General features: G+C 37.6%; 1 pseudogene across 3 annotated transcripts in view; it reads left to right on the plus strand.

The window, feature by feature from the left end:
* The window catches only part of GBA3 (glucosylceramidase beta 3 (gene/pseudogene)), a 126,633-nt pseudogene that overhangs the window by 52,651 nt on the left and 50,688 nt on the right, over positions 1 to 23,294 (plus strand). For 2 of the 3 annotated variants that reach the window (NR_102355.2, NR_102357.2), the window contains exons 3-4: positions 1,709 to 2,505; positions 3,250 to 3,373. The exons of the other annotated variant lie outside the window; for it this stretch is intronic. The product of NR_102355.2 is annotated as a glucosylceramidase beta 3 (gene/pseudogene), transcript variant 1, non-coding (transcript). The remainder of the gene's footprint in view (positions 1 to 1,708; positions 2,506 to 3,249; positions 3,374 to 23,294) is intronic. 3 annotated transcript variants of the gene reach the window in all.

The following is a 23,294-nucleotide window of genomic DNA, read 5'->3' on the forward strand; positions in this document are numbered from 1 at the left end:
TGATCACATTTTTCTCCTTACCTTAAGCGATTAACTTGTATTCATATTTTAAATATCAGCTTAGATGTCACTAATAACAATAATAATTACTATTTCGGTGATAGCTAACCTGTACTGAGCCCTTACCATATGCCAAGAACTGTTCTAAACATGTTTAATTTACCAGCTCATTAAACTCTCACAACAGTTAACTGAAGAAGGTTTCTCTTATTATCCACATTTCTCATACAGGAAAAGATAATTCAGAGATATTAAGGATCTTGCCCAAGGTTGCAGAGCTACTAGGTGAAAGACTTAGGACAGAATTTAGGTGGTCTGGCACCATAATTCACTCTTGAAACAATTACGCTATGTTGCTTTCAGAATATTTTCAAATACCCTGAGTTTAGGATGGATATCCCTTCTCATATGTTTAAATAGGACTCTGTAATTTATCTACTACTCTATTGTAATTGTTTATGAATTTCTCTGTAGTCTCTGCTACTAAGCTCCCTGAGGACAAGGGTGGTGTTTGTTTTGCTTATGTTTGTATGTCAAGCATATAGTAGTTTCTCTATTAATGTGTATTTAAGGAATTAACAAACAAATGATCGAATTAATGAAATACATACAAAAGTGTGAATTGTTATTTTTAAAAATTGGAGGCTCTTAAGAAAAAAGAAAGGGACCTTAGGCAGACTTTCAATGCAACACACTTCTACATATGACTTCATAATTTTTATCCAGGAAACAACTTCTTAAAACAGGGCAGCTTCTCTTGTCTAAGCTTAGGTTGCCTCCATATTTTTAAATATAAAACCACATGAAATACTAACATCAGCCTCTTCCCAGAAAGCCTCTTCCAAGCTAATCGTCATCATTAAGCTAGACTCAGTGAATTCTTGACATAAATTCTGAGCCAGGTCATGTTCAATTTAGAAACTTTCTTCTGAACTCTGCAGCAAGCCTAAAAACTCTCTCTTACATACTTGCAGTCCTGGAAAAATCAGATGAGAGCCAGAGGTGGCTATGTATCCCCATGAACTATGTTGGAGTTTTAGAGCAAACCTCCAACTGGGTGCTTTTAATGTCCTAAGCCTCTGGCTGTCTGTCCTTGTAACCCAGATTCTGGGGCAGATGCTGAGCTCTTGTTCATTCTCAGTAGGTCTCTTTTCCTAGACTTGTGAGACTAGTTGACCTGGAAAAGCATTAAGGCAGTCATCTGGATCAATTCCTTTACTTTATATTTAATACCATCGGATCCATGCATTTATTAAAGAAATATTTATTAGCCTCTAAATTTCTGGTACTATCCCAGGATTTGGAGATCCAGAGGTGAATTAAACAAGCCTTCTGCTATCATGGGGCTTATATTCTAGTGGGGCTAAGAGACAAAAATGAGCATACATACAAATGCATGAAATCATTTCAATATGTATGAAAATAACACAAAGTTAGATAACAGCGATCTGCCTAAATGTATCCATTTCAATACGTTTATCTTTCAATCATGTCACCCCATTAAACTCCTACTTCCTGATCAACTACTCTTCTTTGGAATTCTCAGTGTTTCCTCTCAGTCTTTCATTGATTATATCAAGGAAGTAGTAAAACTTGTTTTGAATAAAAGTCATTCAGAAAATTGTTTTTGATATTCTCCCTTTTAAAATTTATTGCCAATATACTACAAATAACTTTTCTTCTTAGGGCACTTTCTTTTTCCTCCTAGGAATTGATTATTACAACAAGATCATCGATGATTTGTTAAAAAATGGGGTTACTCCCATTGTGACCCTCTACCACTTTGATTTGCCTCAGACTTTAGAAGACCAAGGAGGTTGGTTGTCAGAGGCAATCATTGAATCCTTTGACAAATATGCTCAGTTTTGCTTCAGTACCTTTGGGGATCGTGTCAAGCAGTGGATCACCATAAATGAAGCTAATGTTCTTTCTGTGATGTCATATGACTTAGGTATGTTTCCTCCGGGTATCCCTCACTTTGGGACTGGAGGTTATCAGGCAGCTCATAATTTGATTAAGGCTCATGCCAGATCCTGGCACAGCTATGATTCCTTATTTCGAAAAAAGCAGAAAGGTATGGTGTCTCTATCACTTTTTGCGGTCTGGTTGGAACCAGCAGATCCCAACTCAGTGTCTGACCAGGAAGCTGCTAAAAGAGCCATCACTTTCCATCTGGATTTATTTGCTAAACCCATATTCATCGATGGTGATTATCCTGAAGTTGTCAAGTCTCAGATTGCCTCCATGAGTCAAAAGCAAGGCTATCCATCATCGAGGCTTCCAGAATTCACTGAAGAAGAGAAGAAAATGATCAAAGGCACTGCTGATTTTTTTGCTGTGCAATATTATACAACTCGCTTAATCAAGTACCAGGAGAACAAGAAAGGAGAACTAGGTATTCTCCAGGATGCGGAAATTGAATTTTTTCCAGATCCATCTTGGAAAAATGTGGATTGGATCTACGTGGTACCATGGGGAGTATGTAAACTACTGAAATATATTAAGGTAAATGCATGATTTTTTGTGTGTCCATGTACACCCAATTATGTGAAGGTGGGCAAGACAGGCATATGTATATATATATATATATATATGGACCTGAAAAAAGAATTACTTTAGGTAATAGCATATACATTTGCTGGCCTGGGAAGAGCAGATTAGGATTTGAGTTGATGAGGGGTAACTAGCCGGTAAAGGCTTCAAAAGCAGTGGTCAAAGTCTAGGATTTGTTGTTAAAGTTAGTTGTGGCTATAGAAGTAATTTGGACATATTTTTCAATCTGGTGTCACAACTATGATTATAAAAGACATTTTAAGGATTGAGATAGTTGGATCCTTTTTTTGAGTCTCAGCTATAGTGGATGACATCCAGTTAGCTAAAATTAAAATTTCAATTACAGGTTTTCAGAACCCCTCCTATGGGGGATGTAGAATGTAGCTACTGGCAGGACTGAGGGGTTAAGGAGCAGTGACAATCAACAGATGCTGATGGAAGAAAGATATTTCTGTCTTCTCATTATAATAAGAGTCATTTGACTGTCTTCATGGACATTTGCACAGTTTTGCGTTTCCATTGTTAGTTATAAAAGGTCAGTGCATGGAAAATTAAGTTAATAGGGTCAGTGCAATTTGATGAAAACTAGTTTTGGGGTTGTAGCTTACAGAAGATAGAGGGTAATGTACCTGATTTTATGAGCTTTCTTTTTTTAAAACATCTGTTTGGAATAAAACTTCTGTTCTTTTTTTTTAGGATACATATAATAACCCTGTAATTTACATCACTGAGAATGGGTTTCCCCAGAGTGACCCAGCGCCTCTTGATGACACTCAACGCTGGGAGTATTTCAGACAAACATTTCAGGAACTGTTCAAAGGTACCATTTGAAATGATGAAAGATCAATTGTGCAAACTTAATATAATTTTCCCATTTGCTTATTTGCATTCAGCAAAGACCAATAATTTTTGAAAGCTGAAATCCATGTAAATCAATGCAAAGCCATATAATTAGGAGAGGGGGAAAAAGTATTTAGGAAAGAGGAAGTGGAGGATTTTGGCCTAGCTACAACCTCCTGAAATTGAATCAAGTGAAAAGTGACTGTCTTCAGCATTTTGTGACTCCCAGGTGAAGGTGACAAGAACAGAAGGAGTGGTGGCTGTTGGGAGAGAACATCAGTTATTACAGAATAGATTAGCACTGATCAACTATAACATGCTTATTTGCATATTTTAATATCCTAACTACCAAAAAAAAATGAAATGACAGGATTTTTAAAGAACCCAAATTAAGCATCTGTGCAATAAACTTAAAAATGGCACAAGTCCTCCATCAATGTATGTTGCATTTAAGCTGTAACCAAGCAGCCCAGTTAGAAACATTTTTATTGTCGTATGGAAAATGTGAGTTGTGTTTTAAGATAATGTTATTTTAGTATCTCTTTTCCCTCCATGGAATTCTTTTCATATGAATTCTTAACATATTTGAAAACAGTCATGAAGGAATAACCTCTAACTGGTAACACACATTTCTAGGCAAGTTAGCACCTCCTCTCCTATTATTTGTTGCTTCCCAAATTTAATTCCTCTTTTTTTTTTTTTGAGACAGAGTCTTGCTCTGTCACCCAGGCTGGAGTGTAATGGCGCTATCTGGGCTCACTGCAAGCTCTGCCTCCCAGGTTCACGCCATTCTCCTGCCTCAGCCTCCTAGTAGCTGGGACTGCAGGCTCCCGCCACCACGCCTGGCTAATTTTTTGTATTTTTAGTAGAGGTGGGGTTTCACGGTTTTAGTCGGGATTGTCTTGATCTCCTGACCTTGTGATCTGCCCGCCTTGGCCTCCCAAAGTGCTGGGATTACAGACATGAGCCACTGCGCCCGGCCAATTTCTCCTTCTTAAAAAGGAATCATGTCATAGCAACAAAATCCAATGTAAAATAAGACTTTAAATTTCCTTTTTTTTTTTAAACCATGATAGCCACACTTATTTCTTATCATTCTGAGAGGTTCCGACATTATTCTTTCTAAAATTATTCAGTATTACACTGGTAATCACCAGAAGGAATTCTGGAAAGTGACACAAAGTGGTCTTTTTCCAAAACCTGAAATTTATTTACTGGATCCTTCACTCAGGCCTGGAGTTTATTGGCAGAGAGCAATTGGATTCTTGCAATTTGACCCAAGTGAAGAAATTATTTTGTATTGCACACAAAATAGATTCTTCCGGGTAGGAGTTCATCTTCTGATAAGAGAGGGAAATCTCTAGTTTTCTGAGATTCCTCTCCACTTCTCCCTGTAGATGGGTCCTGTTCATAGTTAATCTATTGATATTCCCAGGCTTTATCCTGAAGAACAAATAGGCTAGTTACTACCCGGCAGATTTATGGATGGCTACAGGGAACACAAATGACTTGCCTAAAATTGCTCTGTGTATTTTTGGGAAAAGAGAGATAAACAGAAATTGCTTTTTTTTTTTGTTTCCATTCCCAGCCTGGTACTCTGTTCAGCGCTAATCATATAGAGGCATTTCGTTGTTTTTTCAAATAGTTTCAAGTACTTTATACCATCCTTTACATCTTTAATGCTAAATGCTTAATGATCGACCCCAAACTAAGGTGATTCAAGGATAGAAAAGTAACAGAAGATAAGAGTGGAAAATAAAAAAAGATTTGGATTTCTAAGAGACGGGAGAGAATAGGGTTAGGACAAAAAATATGTTTTTCAATTTGTTGAACTTCTATTTTGTCTTCAAATTACTTGATGAGAGGTTTATTAGGCATATAAAACATATACTGTCTACAGCATCTATGTTCTCTTCTGAATCTTAACAGTAGGCTAGCTATATTCACTGTAATAGACACGTACTATTTTTGTTTTGCCTTTTAAAAAAACGACTTTTTAAATGTGTAGAAATATATATATTGAGAAGAAAAACATATGCATAAATGTATTTATTCTGGACTGGGTATAGTGGTGTGGTAACTTTTTTTTTTTTTTGAGATGGAGTCTCGCTCTGTCACCCAGGCTGGAGTGCAGTGGCATGATCTTGGCTCACTGAAAGCTCCGCCTCCCGGGTTCACGCCATTCTCCTGCCTCAGTCTCCCAAGTAGCTGGGACTATAGGTGCCCGCTACTACAACTGGCTAATTTTTTGTATTTTTAGTAGAGACCATAGCCAGGATGGTCTCGATCTCCTGACCTCATGATCTGCCCGCCTTGGCCTCCCGAAGTGCTGGGATTACAGGCATGAGCCACCGCGCCCCACTGTGGTGTGGTAACTTTTTTATGTATTCTCGTAGTGGACACCAATTATTTCTGCTGTGGTGCAACTCTCTTTCCCCTTTCTTCTATAAAATACTCACCTCCCCATGTACATGCTTACCACAGGGACATCCATGCAAGTGGAATACAATCCTCCTCCTTCAGCAGATAACTGACTGGTCCAAACGTAGGCACAGGACGTGAGCTGGGGCAATTTCAGTTCTTCCCTGGTACTTAGAACGTGGACCAATTAGTTTCTTAATCTCTTGGACTGGGTTGGGTGGATGTAGCTTTGTGAGCCACTGGTGACTCGGTTCTACCCTGTAAGCTTAGGCACAGTGAGAAGGGAAGATATCTATGCATTAAAGGAAGGTAAACATGGAGAACTTCCAGACAGCACTGGAGCCTCTGCTTTTCATTTTTCCTGAGATCTGTCTGCATGCAAGTTCTTGAGAGACATTACTTTCATCATAATAAAGTGCTCTTTGTGCTTAATCTTATTCTAATTGGGCTTCTATCTCTTGAATAAAAAGAGTTGTAATTGATACCATCATCTCGTTTCCTTCTCAAAACAATGATATGAAGTCATTACTCCTACTTTATAGATGAGGAAACTGAGTTTCAAAGAGGCTATATTATTTGCTAAAGAAAATAAAGGCACTAAGTAGTATTTCCTGGAACAAGGCTGAATGCATGTATATTATTATTATTATTATTAACTATTTGGTGTGAGATATAATCTGTGAGTTCAGGGCTCTCTGAGTTAAAGTGTTTATTTGTCCCACCACACAGAAACTTTTCCTTATGTTTGGTTACTTTGGGTTTGCATGTATTCTTTCAAAGTGCTTCATGCTGTCTTTGAAGAAGAGCCGACAGGTTCTGTGACCTTGAGCAAAGCTCAGACGCCCTATATCCTAGTTCTCATCAAAAGAGCAGAGCTGAACTTGCTAATCAATTTTCTGAGACTCCTCCGAGGTAATGCTGATGATCTTGGTTGCCAAGAACTTTAATAGTAAGAAGCACCCTGTGAGCAATTAAAAATAATAACAGGCCAAGGAAGATATTCCTGGGAAGCGCTGCAGGTGAGAAGTGACCAAAACCTAGGGAGTCAGATGGATGATGGCTCTGTGATTCTCACGAACAAAGCCTTTCCTCTGACATCACACATATGGAGAGGCACATAATGACACTATAGATGGATCAATGGGTCCGCTTGGAGGTCTTACTGATCTCTTCAGGTAGATTCCCACAGCAATTAATCGAGCATTAAAAGGTATGCTAATGTTTCTGTTTCCTTTTGGAATATGAGAAAAAAAAAAGAGAAAAAATATCATTTTAGAATAAAAGGAGAGAAATCAGCTAGTGCCTTTTAAATTTTGCATTGTTTAATTGTATTAAACACCTTTTAATAGGTTATATTTTAAGTAATGTAGAGGCAGGTGAGAGTAAAGGATACCAAAAAGTTGAAATAACATATAACTAGATTTGCATTCCAGATCTGCAAATTATTCAATAAGGGACCTTTAGCAAATTGCTCAACCTGTCTAATCCTCAGTTTGTTTATCTATAAAAATGGGGTTAATTTTTTTTTCTGGCGGGGTTGTTATAGTGAGATTCCATTTCATGAGCTAATGTGTAAAATTCCCTTAGCAACTACCTGACCCATAGTAGCTCCTTAACCAATGGTAACAATTATTATTATTACAAAATGTGCACTCTTAAAAACGTATCTATTATCTCCAAGTTATTCTCCTTGTTATTAAAAAAATGCCATTCCAAGACTTGTTATTTTTCTATCCCCCCCCCACAAATTATAGCAGACTATTTCCCCATATTTCTGTGTTTCTCTTCCTTTTTGAGGAACTTCTGGATGTGTGTTATAACATTGGTCCTCTGGCTTTTTCTAGTGTGAATTGCACTGAGGAGAAAGCAGCACCTCCATTCATTATTTCCCTGTGGGAGGTGACCAGATTAGGTGAAAAGTCAAATCATTGACAGTGGAAACTGCTATCAAGTAACTGGGAATTGTTCTGCCACTTGAATCTTTGTATATGTTTGGGATTCAATGACATTCAAATAGTTAAAATTTTCTTGTATCATAGGAATTTTTATTATATTCATAACATTTATGCCACTCCTCAATACTTAAGAGCCAATGGGCAATTTTGGCTTCATATGTAGATGCACACAAATGGATACCTCTCCAGTCTAAGTGCTTTCATGGAGATGAGGAAGAATGGGGAGCCAGGGGCCATTGCTCCGATGGCTGATACTGCCCCCATCACCTAAATTATCTTGAAAGGGGATCCGAGCGGTGCTCAACCTGTTTCTCATACCTACCCAGCACATGTGTGCTTTTAGCCTGGCTTATGATCCTTCCTCCACCTGGAATGCCATGCTCTTTGCTTTCTTCCTGGCCCACTTTTGTTTGAAGTAGATGGGCTTGCTTGAAGTCAGAGAAAACATAGGTTTGAGACCCTGGTTCTGCCCATAATGAGCCCAAAACTTTAGGGAAAATTCTGAAACAGGCAACCACCTCAGTCATCTAATCTCTAAAATGGGGATAATAAGAACATTGATCTTCTAAAGAGTGGTGAAAAATGAGCAAAATAATGCTTATGATGCCTAAAAAAAGTCTGGCACATTTCCTAAGGATTCTGTAAATGATTGACTAATTTTTTTGGGGGGTGGAGGTGCTGTGAATTCTCTGAGGGCTAGAGCTTTGTCTTTTTTTTATAATTATATCTTCAGCTCTAAGCACCATGACTGTTACATAGTAGTGTTATACACATATTTGTTGAATTTGGTTCTATCATGGAAAGGCTAGATAATGAATAATGAGAAATAAATGACTAAATGGTTGGGAGGCATATTTTCTTTCCCTGAAGAAATATACCCCCCCACACACACACAAAAAATGCAGCCTTCTGAAAAGTTTCTGAGCCAGTCCAACTTTCCAGGCAGATCCATGCCTGAGTTAGCACAGCGGTAGATGATTGCAGAGAAGGTTTGTTAATGACCAGCTTTCAGCTTTTAATGACAAAACCCCTCAGCAAGATGTCATCGAAGTTATTGAAGACTTCACTGAAAGTGTTGAAGCTGATACATTGTAACAAGAAGGTTATAAATCTTGCAGCTTGGATATACCACCAAGACAAGATGCTGAGCACAGAATCACCCTGCTGTTGTCTGTCAGCATTCTCCCTCCCTCTACGTCTTTCCCTTCCCACGGAGAGCAGGTAAAGGAGAAATACATCTATTTCCCAAAGTAGTGCAGACCTGGCAGCCACCTGCCTATGCCAATTTCAGATCACAGAGGTCCATTTAACTGGACAAAATGTGTTAAGCGCCTGTGTTTTTCTAAATGTGCATTAGAAAAAAATCCTAAGCATTAGGGAAAGATTTCAAAGGTTAATACGGTGACCTTTTAGAAACACCAGCCAATTAAAAATCTATTGCAAGCTCAGAATAGAGACCCAAATACCTGAATATAGATTCTCACTGTGTATCTATTGTTTTATTGCTTCTCAGAGGACATCTTTGTCACCTTGGCCCCTAGGAAGCAGTTCATGTCATAACTCCTGTTAAATATAACTGTATGGCTTTGGGGCCACGTGGGGTGGGATTTGGATTGACTCAATACTGCTAACCAGGCTGCTCCTGGCTGCACTGGATGGCTGCTAGCCACAAGGGGCCAGGTCAGAACACAGAGGAAGAATGAGGTTGAAGGCTGGGCATGAGAATGGCTAGTGGGTGCTAGTATATAGAGTGTGCAATTTTTGTTTTTTAATTTTTTAATTGACAAAAATTGTATCTTTATTGTGTACAACATGTTATGAAACATGTATACAATCTAAAATGCCTTAAACACATGCATTACCTGACATATTAGCATTTTTTTTTGTGGTGGGAATGCTTACCATCTACTCTTTTGGTAATTTAAAAGAATATAACAGATTGTTATTAATTATAGTCACCATGTTGTACAATAAATCTCTTGAATTTTTGGCTCCTATCCAACTGAAATGTTGTCTCTTTTGAAACAGCATCTCCTGAGTTCCCCAGCCCCATAAACGAGATCATTTATGTCTACATATGCTCTGAATGCCTTAAAATGTTAGATGTTATTCTCACCATCTACTCTCTGCCTCTTTGAGATCCACTTTTTTAGATTCCGCATATAAGTGAGAGCATGTGGTATTTGTCTTTCTGTGCCTGGTTTCTTTCACTTAACATAATGTCCTATAGGTTCATCTGTATTGTTGCAAATGACAGGATTTTATTCTTTCTAAGGTCCAATTGTAGGACCATGCTGTTTTGGTTACTGTAGCCTTGTAGCATAGTTTAAAGTTGGGTAATGTGATTTCTCCAGCTTCACTCTTTTTGCTTAAGATTGCTTTGGCTACTCGGGCTCTTTTTTGATTACATATGAATTTTAGAATAATATTTTTCTAAATCTGTGAAAAATGACACTGTATTCCCCATTTTCTTTATCCATTCATCCACTGTGGACACGTAGGTTGATCCCACATCCTGGCTATTGTGAATAATGGTGCAGTGAACACGGGAATGCAGATATCTCTTTGACATACTGATTTCATTTCCTTTGGATACATGGTAGTTTTATTTGTGGAATTTGAAAAGTCATGAAGAAAATAATTTCTTATGTTTGTGTCCCACTAGTCTACATATGTAGACCACACTTAGACTCAGCCAGGGTTTACAGAGTTAACCTTAAAAAGGGATATGCCAGATGCCCTTCTCATTTATTTCCCCCTGCTACTTCCACTCATGACGTACTTGTCATTTGCCCTTCCTTCCCACTGGGAAGCATGGAAGAGTAGAATGCATCGAAGTAGAAAGTCTGCAGGCTTTGGAGAGGAAAGATGAACAGAGTTCTGTGCTCTAGTGGTGTGTCTTTGGGTAAGTCATCATTGGTACTCTCTAAATGTCAATTTCCTTATCTGTAAAATGGGACTAATGCTAACTGCTGTTCTGCCTAATCCAAGGTCAGTTGTGAAAATAAAATGAGATCATTTATATCTACATATGCTCTGAACACCTTAGACTGTTAGATGTTATTCTCATATTTGATATACGTACTTTATGCTTCTGTTTAAGGACATTCATCACTCTGGTCAAAATACATTATCTGGACCTCAACATTCTCCACTGCCAAGGAAAGGGGTTGGTGCTCATTATTTGGGTCTTTTCAAAGTCTAGATTCTCAGATTTTATCAATTTATTTTCCTGCACATTTCTATACTGCTGTGTAACATTGTGACCAATTTAAGGGTTTTTAGAGAACATGTACTATGACCAAGTGATTAATATAGTGCTTAATAAAGCCAGAATAACACACATACACAAACACATTCACACATACACAGAAATATGTATACATATATGCATATACTCTGTATGTCTCTATCTGGCTACCTATCTATGTAAGTTTATGTAAGTTTTTTGATGAGCTACTTTACCACACTTGTCTGGTGAGGCATATATTGATGTGGTCAGAAACCTAAACCATTTATGAGGCACATTCTCTTAGAAACATAGAACCTGGCATACCTGCTTCACAAGAACAGGTTTCATGGAGTTGCCCATGTGAGAAGCAGCTTGATCACACATCAGAGAATCTTTCCTTGTGCGTTTTAACTGGAAACCATTATCTTCTCTGTCTGTAGTATTCCAATATCTATGCTGTGCCCCAACTGATGGACATCACTTTGGGCTTTTTAACTCAGTTTCCACTACTCTGAAGTGATACTTAAGGTCTCCCACCATCTCAGGTCCAGTGAATTTTAAGGATACAATAAAGCCTTTAAAAAAATCAGATGATTTCAAACTAACCTTTCTTTTTTTCTTTTTCTTTTTCTTTTTTTTTTTTTTTTTTTTGAGACGGAGTCTCGCTTTGTTGCCCAGGCTGGAGTGCAGTGGCGCGATCTCGGCTCACTGCAAGCTCTGCTTCCCAGGTTCATGCCATTCTCCTGCCTCAGCCTCCTGAGTAGCTGGGACTACAGGCGCCCACCACCATGCCCAGCTAATTTTTTTTTTGTATTTTTTTAGTAGAGACAGAATTTCACCATGTTAGCCAGGATGGTCTCAATCTCCTGACCTCATGATCTGCCCACCTTGGCCTCCCAAAGTGCTGGGATTACAGGCGTGAGCCACCGTGCCTGGCCGTAACCTTTCTTTTTTTCATGAAAATGTATAGTGTAACAGTAAGCAGAAGCTCAGTTTTTATTTTCCACAACTGTGAAGACCAATGAGGAAAAGAATTGTTATTTATCTGAAAAAAGTTAGCCTTTCCAATATGAAGAGTTGGCTGAATGGAAACTAGAAAAAGGGGAAGGGGGAGAAAAGAAAAAATTCAATAATGATTTTTTATTATTTATTGATTTATCTATTTTTTTCTATTCCCTAGATAGCTTCAGGGAGGATTCAGTAATGATTTTTAAAAACTGTTCCAAGAGAGAGCCATGTTGGAATATTTTAGTGATTAGGGGGCTACTGGAATTGAAGCAAGGTGAGTATCTCAGGTTTCCCCCAGAGTGTAGATGAGGTGGTCCTCAAGCATCTGTCTACATTAGCTCTTATTCCCTGATCTCCAGAATAACCTGGTTACTATCTGCCTCTTAGTCATCTTGGGAGCGAAAAATCACTGCCTTTGAATGAAGCCAGTAGAGTTCCACTTTAGTGTGATTCACAGGCGTTGCCTGGATGACTGTGTTAAGGATTCTGTTGGATAGCTATGGGCTCATGGAAAGAATCAAAGGAAGTAGATGGTCAAATGCTATCTATTTCTGCTCATGAAACTTAACATGAGTTTTCCCATGCTTGGAAAGAGATATTCCTCATTGTAAATTAATACGTTGACATTAGGTTTTGTAAATAAAAATCTTGTTCATTAGTAGGGATTAGCTCTCGGTGCAGTGAAAAAAAAATGAAATGGTGGATTTGCAGTGCGACCTTAGGCGGTGCTGATCTCACCGGTTCTATAACCTTCCTCTCTGTAGTCTTCTCATCTTACCTTTTTATAGCTTCAATGTTGCTTATATTGGTCAGTTGCTCTACAGTGATATAAATGTTGTTTCTGCCAACTTTCACAGACTCCTAATTCTGTGAATTACTGGTTCACTACCTCCTATCTTATTTTTTTCAATAATGAGCCTGATACTATGTAGACAAAAATCAGCAATATTATGATTGAAAACATTAAAAATTGATGCCATGACCACTGCAGAGGCTTCTAACTACAGCATTGTAGCAAATACTTGTTGAATAAGACAATTGAATATATGGAACTTGAGAGATACTTTGATTCTTGAAGATGATATCCATGATAATCTTTGGGAAAAAAAAAAGAGCATTTTCAGGAGAAAATGAAAGTTATTAAAAGGTAAAAGAACTCATAGGCAGAAGAAGTGTACCTAAAGATTTTATTCACCATTTTTAAAGACAAAATTCTCACCAGAAAAAATTTTGGAGTTTTGAGCTATATACTCAGCATTCCGTAAGTGCTCAGTAAATGTTTAATAACTGAAAGGAGATTGAGCCTAGATTAGCAGAAAAACTGAATTACTTACTTCTGGGAATTTCAATGAAATATTAGACTTATGCCACCATTGTGCTTTTTTGATTTCTAAAGAAGTGGCAGATTATTTATTCTATTATAAACAATTTGTATGTATTAGAATATGCATGAACACTAATTATATCCTTTTGATATTAAACTTCTGTTTGGGACAACAACAATTTAAATATATGCTAGAGTTTTAAAGCTCTCATGTATAAATTCTCTTAAGCGCTCCATGCTTCAGTTTCTTTAATTGAAAATAAAAGGGCTGAACTAGCTGATCTTTTGGGATACTGCCAGCCTAAGAATTTTGTGACCTTCTAGATAGTCGTTCTGCAGAAGTATGTCACGGATCACATTTTATTAGAACTCTTGATAATTTCGTAGGCTATAAAATTTAGTCCAAGGAATTATAATTAATGGTCTTTTTTTATACAAAAAAAAAAGCCTCTCTTCATTCTTCTTATCCAGCTACCTAATTTGAAATTTAACACCTTTCTTATATGGACATAAAATTAGACCTTGCTTTTCAATGCGCTGTTTCTATTGATATTGATTGAGGTTCCAGGTAACATTTTCTTGACCTTCAATCTGAGTGTTTCCTCTTCTATTCATTCACATTGAAAATGAACCTCACCTTTCTTTGCTTGAGAAAGTTTTCCCTTGGAATTCATAGAGTCAGAAGGGCACTTCAGACTCAAGTTTAACAAAGTTACTGTAGAGAGCATAAAATCTCAGAGAGGAAACTGGATGTGCCAACTCATTTCAAAGCATTAGTGTAAAATCCCCAGCTGAAGAACTTCACAGCAGCTACAATCACCAGCAGTAAAATCACCTTTCAAAACACAATTATGGCAAGAGGCATCTAATCTATTAAATTTTAAGATAGTTAAGTATGAGTTTTTGAACTTTGCCATAAATGCATAATTTAATTCAATTAGATAGCGTAGTAATTTTAACTTTACGTATATTTAACTTGAACACTAAACCTTTGTTTCTGGGTAAGATCCTGAATTAGAAGGAGGGATTATATTGCGGCGTTTTCAGAATTACAGTCTCATCATAAGTCTGTGCAGAGACTTCATATAGGCAAGTCTGTTTTTCTATTCTGACTTCTGAGCGTAGAGCTTATTCCAATCAGTACTGCTTTTACCTCAAGTTACTGTTTAGGTAGCATTTTCTTCAATACAATGAAAATATCACTCTGGTGCTAGAGATGAAAATAGTTTCTTTTAGAAAGTAATTCTTAAAGTTTATCTGAAAAGGCTATGTGCAGAGATGGGGGAGGGAGGCCCGTCTCATTCAGTAGGGTCATCTCATCAACAGCAAAGTCTCCTGTGTGTTGAGATTAGCTAATGAAACAGTATCATGGCCTGAGATTAGTTTGTGTTATCCTAAAGCTCGGCCACATTTCCCCCCTTGTTTGTGAAAGTCTGTTATAGGAATCACTGTCTGCTTTAAAAATAAGTGAAACTATTGTGGATGGAGGAAGAAAAGGCATTTGAACCCTGAAGAATTTTAATTGGTGCTGGTGAGTGAAGGTGAACAAGAAGCCATCGATGATTCAGGTGAAAACATTAATGAGTGCGGACTAAACAGATAATAGGAGTAGGGTAGGAGGAAGAATGTTTGACATTTGCTGATGAAATAACCTTTTTTACTCTCCTGGCAACAAGTGGAATTCATTTCTTTGATATTTAGACACAGCTCAAAGTCTTAAATAATTTTAAACGACCATATTCTTTTATGAGTCAGAGTCAAGTCAAATATGTTTTGTAGTTGAAAATCAGAATAATAAAAAATTAGATCAGCACATAAAATATGAGTAAATGAGTCTATTGTAAGGTATACATTTATTAGTAGATCATTTTTATGTGGTTGAGGCTCTGTGGGTTTAGTCCCTTAAAACATTTTTTTTCCCCAAAGATGTTCAGGATATGTTCTTGATACTTTGAATGAGCAGTTGGCCTTAAAAAACAAAAAAAAGGAAGCTTCAAAAATATTTCATGGCCAAAGTTTGCTGCCCTCATGAATAGATGGTAACAATGACAAGAATAGTTCAGAAAAATCTTTTAGCACTCCTAGAAAAACAAATAGCCTGACCCATTGATTGTGTACAAATTTTGTACAGACAGGCAGATAACTTTATGAATACTCTTATGCCACAAGGATTTGCTTGTTTGACATACTGAAAGAGCATATTCTTTGATTGATTGATTGATTGACTTAGATAGATTCAGGGGGGTACATGTGCAGGATGTACATAGATATATTGTATAATGGCGAGGTTTAGGCTTCTTGTATACCTGTCAACCAAATAGTGAACATTATACCCAATAGGTAATTTTCAACCCTCATCCATCCTCCAACTCTCCCCACTTTTGGAATGTCTAGTGTCTATTTAATTTCCTTCTTTGTGTCCATGTGTACCATTGTTTAGCTTCCACTTATAAGTAAAAGCATACAGCATTTAATTTTCTGTTTCTGAGTGATTTCTCTTAGGATAATGACCTCCAGCTTCATCTATGTTGCTGCAAAAGACATGATTTCAGAAAGAGTATATTCTTTAAAGACAGATCCATTTTCAGAATCTGGTTCTGATACTCTTTCAGCTTGTGAGCCTTGGGCAAGTTATGAATATCAGTTCATCATCTCTGAAAACTTATTTTTGGTGCAGATTAATGGCATACTTCATATCCTAGAGAAATGCCTACCACATAAATCCTCCAAATGATAACTATTGCAGTGAATTATTTATTACCAGCATCTAGTAACCAGGATTTTGGAAAAACTGCGACTTCCTGCATAGTCATCAAGCATTGATAATTTATGCTTCTCTTGATGACCCCAGAATGCATTCTGAATAATTAGAGAAAGATTAAATTATAATCAGTTTAGTTTCAGTGTTAAGTGTATTTTAATTTATTCTCATTCTTTAAAAATTTGTAATCTTTTTGCATGTGGCAACAATTAACAAAAAACATTTGATTAGCTGGGGCACCACATTCCCTGACTATCAAGCTAATAAAGAGTTTATTGCAGGTTGTTGAAACTCAAACTTTTCCCTGTGCATAAACTGGGCATTTGCTGGATGGAGTCTCTTCATGCCAGTCTTCTATCCTTTCTCAGAGCCAGTGTGTTGACTGTTGGATATCTTAGATTTAATCTTTATATATCCTTGAACAACACTCTTGGAACCTATACCAGACACTTCTTGTGTATTATTTTGACGCAGGGTCCTAGTCCTGGTCATCACTTCTGATTTGGTGCAGATGAGGACCTAAGTCTTCTATTTCTGAGGTTGTCTGTTCTTTTCCTATGTATTTCTAGAGATGAACATCTCAGCTGACTTTAGTAACCAATCTATCTTGGTGTTTGATCAACCTCTGCTCTTACCCAATCATGTTTTGGACTTGTTCTCACTAGGCTTTTTAGGCTATATAACCTTCCTGATGAAAACTTCACTATGCATTTTATCATTTTTGTGGTTCTTTGAACTTTCCAGTTTTTTTTCCATTTGTCTTTTTTCCCCCAACACACCAATGTCATATGTTGCTGTAAAAAGTGCCTTAACACCTGATTTGTGTTAAAAGGCATCTCTTCAAAAATTCATTCATATTATTGTTCTTTTGTGATCTTGATTATGGTACATTTTCAGGCAAGCAGATTGATTTTTGTCATTTGATCGATCAACATAGGACATAGGATTCATCAGTTCCTTTTCGTCTCCCTTATTCTGCCTTCCTTTACATATCTGCCCTACCCCAAAGCCTCTCTTTGCAACCTGACACTCTCCTTTTTCATAGTGTCCTTCACATCCCAGCTGACATCCCCAATACTTACTCAGTGAATGAAGTAAGGCAGAGACTGCTTGTTTCCCTTAAAGGGAGAGTGAGGCCAAGGGGAAAAACAGCTGATAAAGAAATAATTTTTCACTGTAAGCCCAGGCAACTCTTGGGCCTGGTGTAAGGGGAAGATTGATTAGGATTCTCTTGTTAAAATGTAGAAGCCTTCTTTGGTCATGTGTGGGTGGGTGTCCGGTGAGAATCGGAAGCCTGGGTGTCTAGCCAGGAAGCAACAATTAGCATTCTACTCTAATTCTGTGATTTCTCTGATATGGAGCTCACTGGGTAGCTGCATTTCAGTTGGTCAGTCAGGTTGCCTGTTACTGCTACTGTGCGTAATTTCTCCCCAAAGTGATATTTTTCATTATATAGACAAACATTAAAAGTCAGCAACTCAGTAGTAAAGCAGTCACTGTTCCTCTAGCTGTGGCACACCTCTATTTAGCTACTGCAAATACGTTTAATATTTGGCAAACCATATGTATATTATTGGGCTATTTTGAATTTTCTGGGAACTATGATTTTGAGCTTTGCTGTGTTTGAATGATCAATTGCAATGCTTTGTTGAATAGACTTCTTTACAAAATGTTACATTTTCATAAATATAGCATAAGATCACCTGGTAAACAAATGAATTTGTGTTAATAGAAAGTGTGAAAATTTCAGAACATTCACAGAATTGAAGTTAAAGTAGCTACACTATCTTTATGTATAGATAGATTGTTGGTCACAGGAATGACATATTAGGCTGGGTGTGGTGTCTCGTGCCTTTAATCCCAGCACTTTGGGAGGCTGAGGCGGCAGGGGTGGGGGGACGGGGGGAACGCTTGAGGGCAGGAGTTTGAGACCAGCCTAGCCAACATGGTGAAACCCTGTCTCTACTAAAAATACAAAAAAATTTCCCGGGCGTAGTGGTATGCACCGGTAATCCCAGCTGATTTGAAGGTTGAGGCATGAGAATTGCTTAAACCTGGGAGACAGAGGTTGCAGTGAGCCAAGATCACACCACTCCACTCCAGCCCAGACAACAGAGTGAGACTCTGTCTCAAAAAAAAAAAAAAGGAAAAAATTGCCATATTAATACATGTGTTGCAAAGAAGGAGACAACAGTCACTGGGGTCTGCTTGAGAAGAGAGTGGGGGAAGGAGGGAGAGGAGCAGAAAAGATAACTATTGGGTACTGTGCTTAATACCTGGGTGATGTTATGTGTACAGCAAACCTCCGTGACACGTGTTTATCTGTGTAACAAACCTTCAGATGTACCCCCAAACCTGAAATAAAAATTTAAAAAAGAAGAAAATCATTTCCATGGGATTCCAAATAAACTAGCTCATGGAGTATGGAAAAAAAAATGTGTGTTGGATGGTAGTTGAAGGCCATTTATATATCATATTCTTTAAATTTTGACATTTCGAATGCTGGATTCTCATGAATTTGGGTAACGACATTCACTCTAAATAATTTAGTGCTCTCTTTTATTTTAAGGGATATTTTATTTTATTAAGAAAATGTTCTTCCTGTATTTCTATCTTAAAAATATTTTTTGGTTAACACAAACACAGTAGTTTCCCTTTAACCATGGTTTCACTTCCTGTGGTTTCAGTTACCTGAGGTCAACCGCTATGCAAAAATAATCAGTGGAAAATTCCAGAAATAAGCAATTCATAAGTTTTAAATTGTTCACCATTTTGAGTAGCTTGATGAAATCTCACAAAGTCCCCCTCCCTCCTCCTGGGACATGAATCCTCCTTCTATCCAGCATATCCCTGTTGTCAACACTACCTGCCCGTGAATCAGTTAGGAGTCACCTGGGTTATCAGATCTGCTGTTGCAGTATCACAGCGCTTGTGTTGGGTTGATACCCTTTTTTTTACTTAATAATGGCCCCAAAGTGCAAGTGTGTGATTCCGGCAATTTGGATATTCCAAAGAAAAGCATAAAGTCCTTCCTTTAAGGGAAAAGTGAAAGTTCTCAAATTAGTAAGGAAAGAAAAAAAATTGTATGCTGACATTGCTCAGATCTATGGTAAGAATGAATCTTCTATCTGTGAAATTGTGAAGAAGGAAAAAGAAATTCATTTATAGTGTATATATGTTTTGGTACTATCCGTGGTTTTAGGCATTCACTGGGGGTCTTGGAACGTATCCCCTGTGGCTAAGGGGAACTACTGTACTGGAAAACCTTTGTGATTTGTAATAATTATAGAGATGACAATTCAGAAATGTCAGTTAAATTGTTGAGAGGTATTAATTTTTGTCAATTATTGAAGATGGACCATTTTATTACATTGAGGTTCTTGATAAAAAGAAATACCAGCTCATAAATCAGTGGTAGGGAGGGAGTGGGAGGATGTAAATATCCTACCCGTAGTTGTTGACATAAAGCTTGAACACTGGCTTGTAGCTTCCTGGCATTCAGATCAAAACGAATTCACCATTGGTTTTCAAACTGTGCTTTCTGGAGCTTTCTGATCTATGAAGATATCTTTGGGGACTCAGTTAGATGCACAGAGGGTGGGAGGAAAAGCAGAGCTCCAGGGCACCTCTGCTTTTATTGGTTGTGTATATTAGGAATCCATAAAAATTTTCATTTGAAAGGAAGACTCTGGTGCTAAAAAAAAAAAAAAAAGAAACATTGGAAAACCACTGAATAATAGGGATCTCATTATCAGAGGGGCAGAAACATGGTAGCTCCTTTGGGGAAATAAAGCACAACTTTCTTTCTCTTTCACTTGAAAAAATGAGTTATTTCAAACATACAGAAAAATACAGGTACCCATACAACTGTGACCCAGATTTAACACATGCTAATATTCTGTCATACACATTATACATGAAAAAGGAAATTAAATATTATTGGCCCAGGGTAAGTCCCTTTATATCTTTCCTGTATCTCCTTTCTGTCTTCCTTCACTTGGGTTAACTCTGATCTTGAAGTGTGTGCACTACACATTTTGCTACAAATTTATACATCCATGGCCTATCTGTATAATGCTTTCTGCATTTTACTATTTACATAAATGGTGTCACACTATACACATATATATTTTCAACATTATGTTCTTTGAGATTTATCCATGTTGATCCTTTTAGCTCTAATTCATTCTTTTTAGTGGATCTATAGTATTCTGATGTGTGAAGAGACCACATTTATTTATCTCTTCTTCTGCTGATGGATGTATGAGGGTCTTTCCTTTTTTTTCATTTTTATAAACAATGCTGCACTGAATATCCTTGAGTGGCTCATAGGCTGAAAATGCATTTCTTACATGGGAGTTTATGAGGCAGCCCTGCTGCTAGTCCACATGATATCTTTGTACCATTAGAATGAAGTTTCCCTTCCTCAAAAATGTTACATTTTTAAGAAAATGGTTGCAAAGGCTATACAAATTTACAATGACTTTATATCAACAGTGTTCTTTAAAGTTTTGACATTTAAAAAAAAGCAATAGTTCTATATGTAGGGGATGCTACCATAGAAACCTGTAGGGTGTAAAGAGGTTGGGCGAACTAATGTGTTTAACAGGTTAGAAGCTAATCTAAATAAAAGTCTGTGGTTAGCCTATATAAGAGGTTTTTCTAGCTAAATGCAGGGGCTGGGGAAATTGTTTTCTTCAGAAACGGTGTGTTGCAAGTAAAGAACACAAGGAAAGTGTGTAAGGCTTTTGATTTTTCCCAGGTTACAAGGCCAGTGGCTGGCCCAAGTGATGTTGTAAGGGAGACCTTATCCATCAGTTTTCCCCTTTCCAGAATACAGCCCTCAAGACTGTCTATGTAGACATGTATACAGTGCGGGCTTCTACCAGGCTCCATCTGCTAACACAACAGTGTGCTAAGAATGAAGAGAAGTTGCCTAGGGAAGACAAATAAGCCCTTGCTCTGGGAAGGAAAGTTTGAATTGTATCCAGAGGAAGTAGTGAGCCTCCCAGAAGACTGACGCTGTAAGTCCCAATACACTGAAATAAGTTCATGTTCATCCAAGTTCCATTGGTCCTCACTAGATGGCTTTGCCTGGGGAGGGAAACAACTCCACAGCAGGCAATGCAATGTCTTCTCTATTCTTTATGAAAGTTAATAGGGGAAAAATTCTTTCCTGCTTTGGAAACTTACTTTAGAAATTAAATTTGGAAGTACTCAAGAGTAGAAGCCTGGTGGAAATTGTTGGATATTCTTCATGGAAGCAATTATATATGTTGTGGTCATTAAAAATTTGCCTAAATTAAGATGTGGTAACATCACTCTCTGTTTATATCTGTAATACTATTTTCCGTCCTGGGAATCATTGGGCATTAACATTAATATTCACAATCTAAATTATACCCAGAAGACAGGATCTACGATGATTGTGTGTATGGAGAAGCCTGTTAACTTCTGTTAATTCTTTTAAGAACTATCAGGTAGAAGACTAAAAAAATTCATTTTATGTTGTGTCGAGGGCAGAACTCATGCCAGTAGGGGACCATTACATGAAGACAGGTTTTAGTTCAACATTAAGACAGAACTTTCCAACAATTAGAGTGGCTGAGTAAGAGAATGAGTGTCCTCAGGAGATCATTAGAGGCCTGTCAATAGATGGCAGAAAAGCAGATGCCAGATTCCCATCTGCCAAAGATGCTGTTGGGAGGATGTCTGCTCCATGTGGGAGGGTCATTCCACAAGTGCGTACAATCACCTGCTATTTATTAAGTACCTACCGTGCACTTGCTGTCGTCGGGGATAGGGACTGTTGTAGGCACAGCTGTTGTCTGGATGTGATCATCTTCCAGTCCTAAATTCTGTGAATCCCAGGGAGTTTTAGCCAGGGCCCTGATGAAATTTTCACAAATTCCACATTAGAGTGGTCTGAAGTAATGAGGTCTCACAATGCGGCTAGCCTAGTGGTAATGCTTAACCTTACTCCCAGCAGGAAGGATATGGCGCAGAACACCACTTCTTAGCTAAGACCTGCTTTTGTCCCTGGATTTCAGCTTTGGCTTGGCTTTTGTGACATGAAAGATCTCAGTATATTAAAGTTAGTTTCTTTTCTCTGGTTCACTTCCTTCTGGTCTTGAAAATTAATATAACTTCTGAGCTCCAGATGATGTGTGTCAGCTTTATTTAGTCAAACTCTGTCAAGATAAATATTTTTGCATTGGAATTGAATCTCTGTAACTTCCATTCATGACAAAAGCATGAATTACAAAGTGGAGACTTTATGGAATTATAACTAAATACACTTAATTCTTTAAAGTCAAGTCTGCCTCAATCACAGTGTTTGACTTGGAAACCTCCTTTAGTCCAGTAGAGAATATAAATAAATAAATGTATGGAACAGTTTTGAGATTAGATCTGGATATTATATTATGAAGGTAACATTTTGGTCTGAATTCTCTGGCTTATGCTGAAGACACGACCTTGGCTGCCTCATGGATATGGCCTGTCTTTCACACACTTTAGAGACAAGTGTGTTAGAGTCCCATTAATGCACATAATGGCTCCTGCAGCTCACTGATGCACATGCTATCACAGTGACCTGAAGAGTTAAGGTGCGTACTCCTTAGGCTACTTCACATAACATTGAAGCCACTTTGACCCAGAGTAGACTAAAACCCCATATATTCAATATTTGCTTTCATTAATATATTCATAAATATACAAAATCCTTGAGTGGTCTTTTAAACTGTTCCTTTGTTATATAGTCTGGGGCCCTAGCTATTTCTTCTATTGGCTGAAGTTTCTTTGTGTGTGTCAGCTTTTCATTTATGGACCCTGAAATTAATCCGGTTTAAAATTATGCTCTTCAAATATAGTTCAAATAATTCTGTTTTGAGGAAGAAATGTAGTACAGAGGGAGTCTTTCATGAAAACAACTTTCCCAAGCCATTGCTCTGGAGTTGCTAAGGGTGATCAGCCAGCAAAGCCCAAAGTGTTCATTTAGTATGACATGCAAGTATTTTAAAAAGATCTTAGCTGGAAAAGCAATATAATTGGCAAATTAAAAATATTAAAATGAAAGTTTGCACCTTCTGACTAGGGAGAAAACAGTGCCCTTACATTGTTCCTTTTTTTGTTGTGTTTTCTGCTCTGTGCACAGTAAAGATTTGTGGCACTGCATCTTTTAAAAAAAATTTATTTTAC

The sequence above is a fragment of the Homo sapiens genome, chromosome 4 (genome assembly GCF_000001405.40).
Source record: "Homo sapiens chromosome 4, GRCh38.p14 Primary Assembly".
Taxonomy (NCBI): Eukaryota; Metazoa; Chordata; class Mammalia; order Primates; family Hominidae; genus Homo; species Homo sapiens.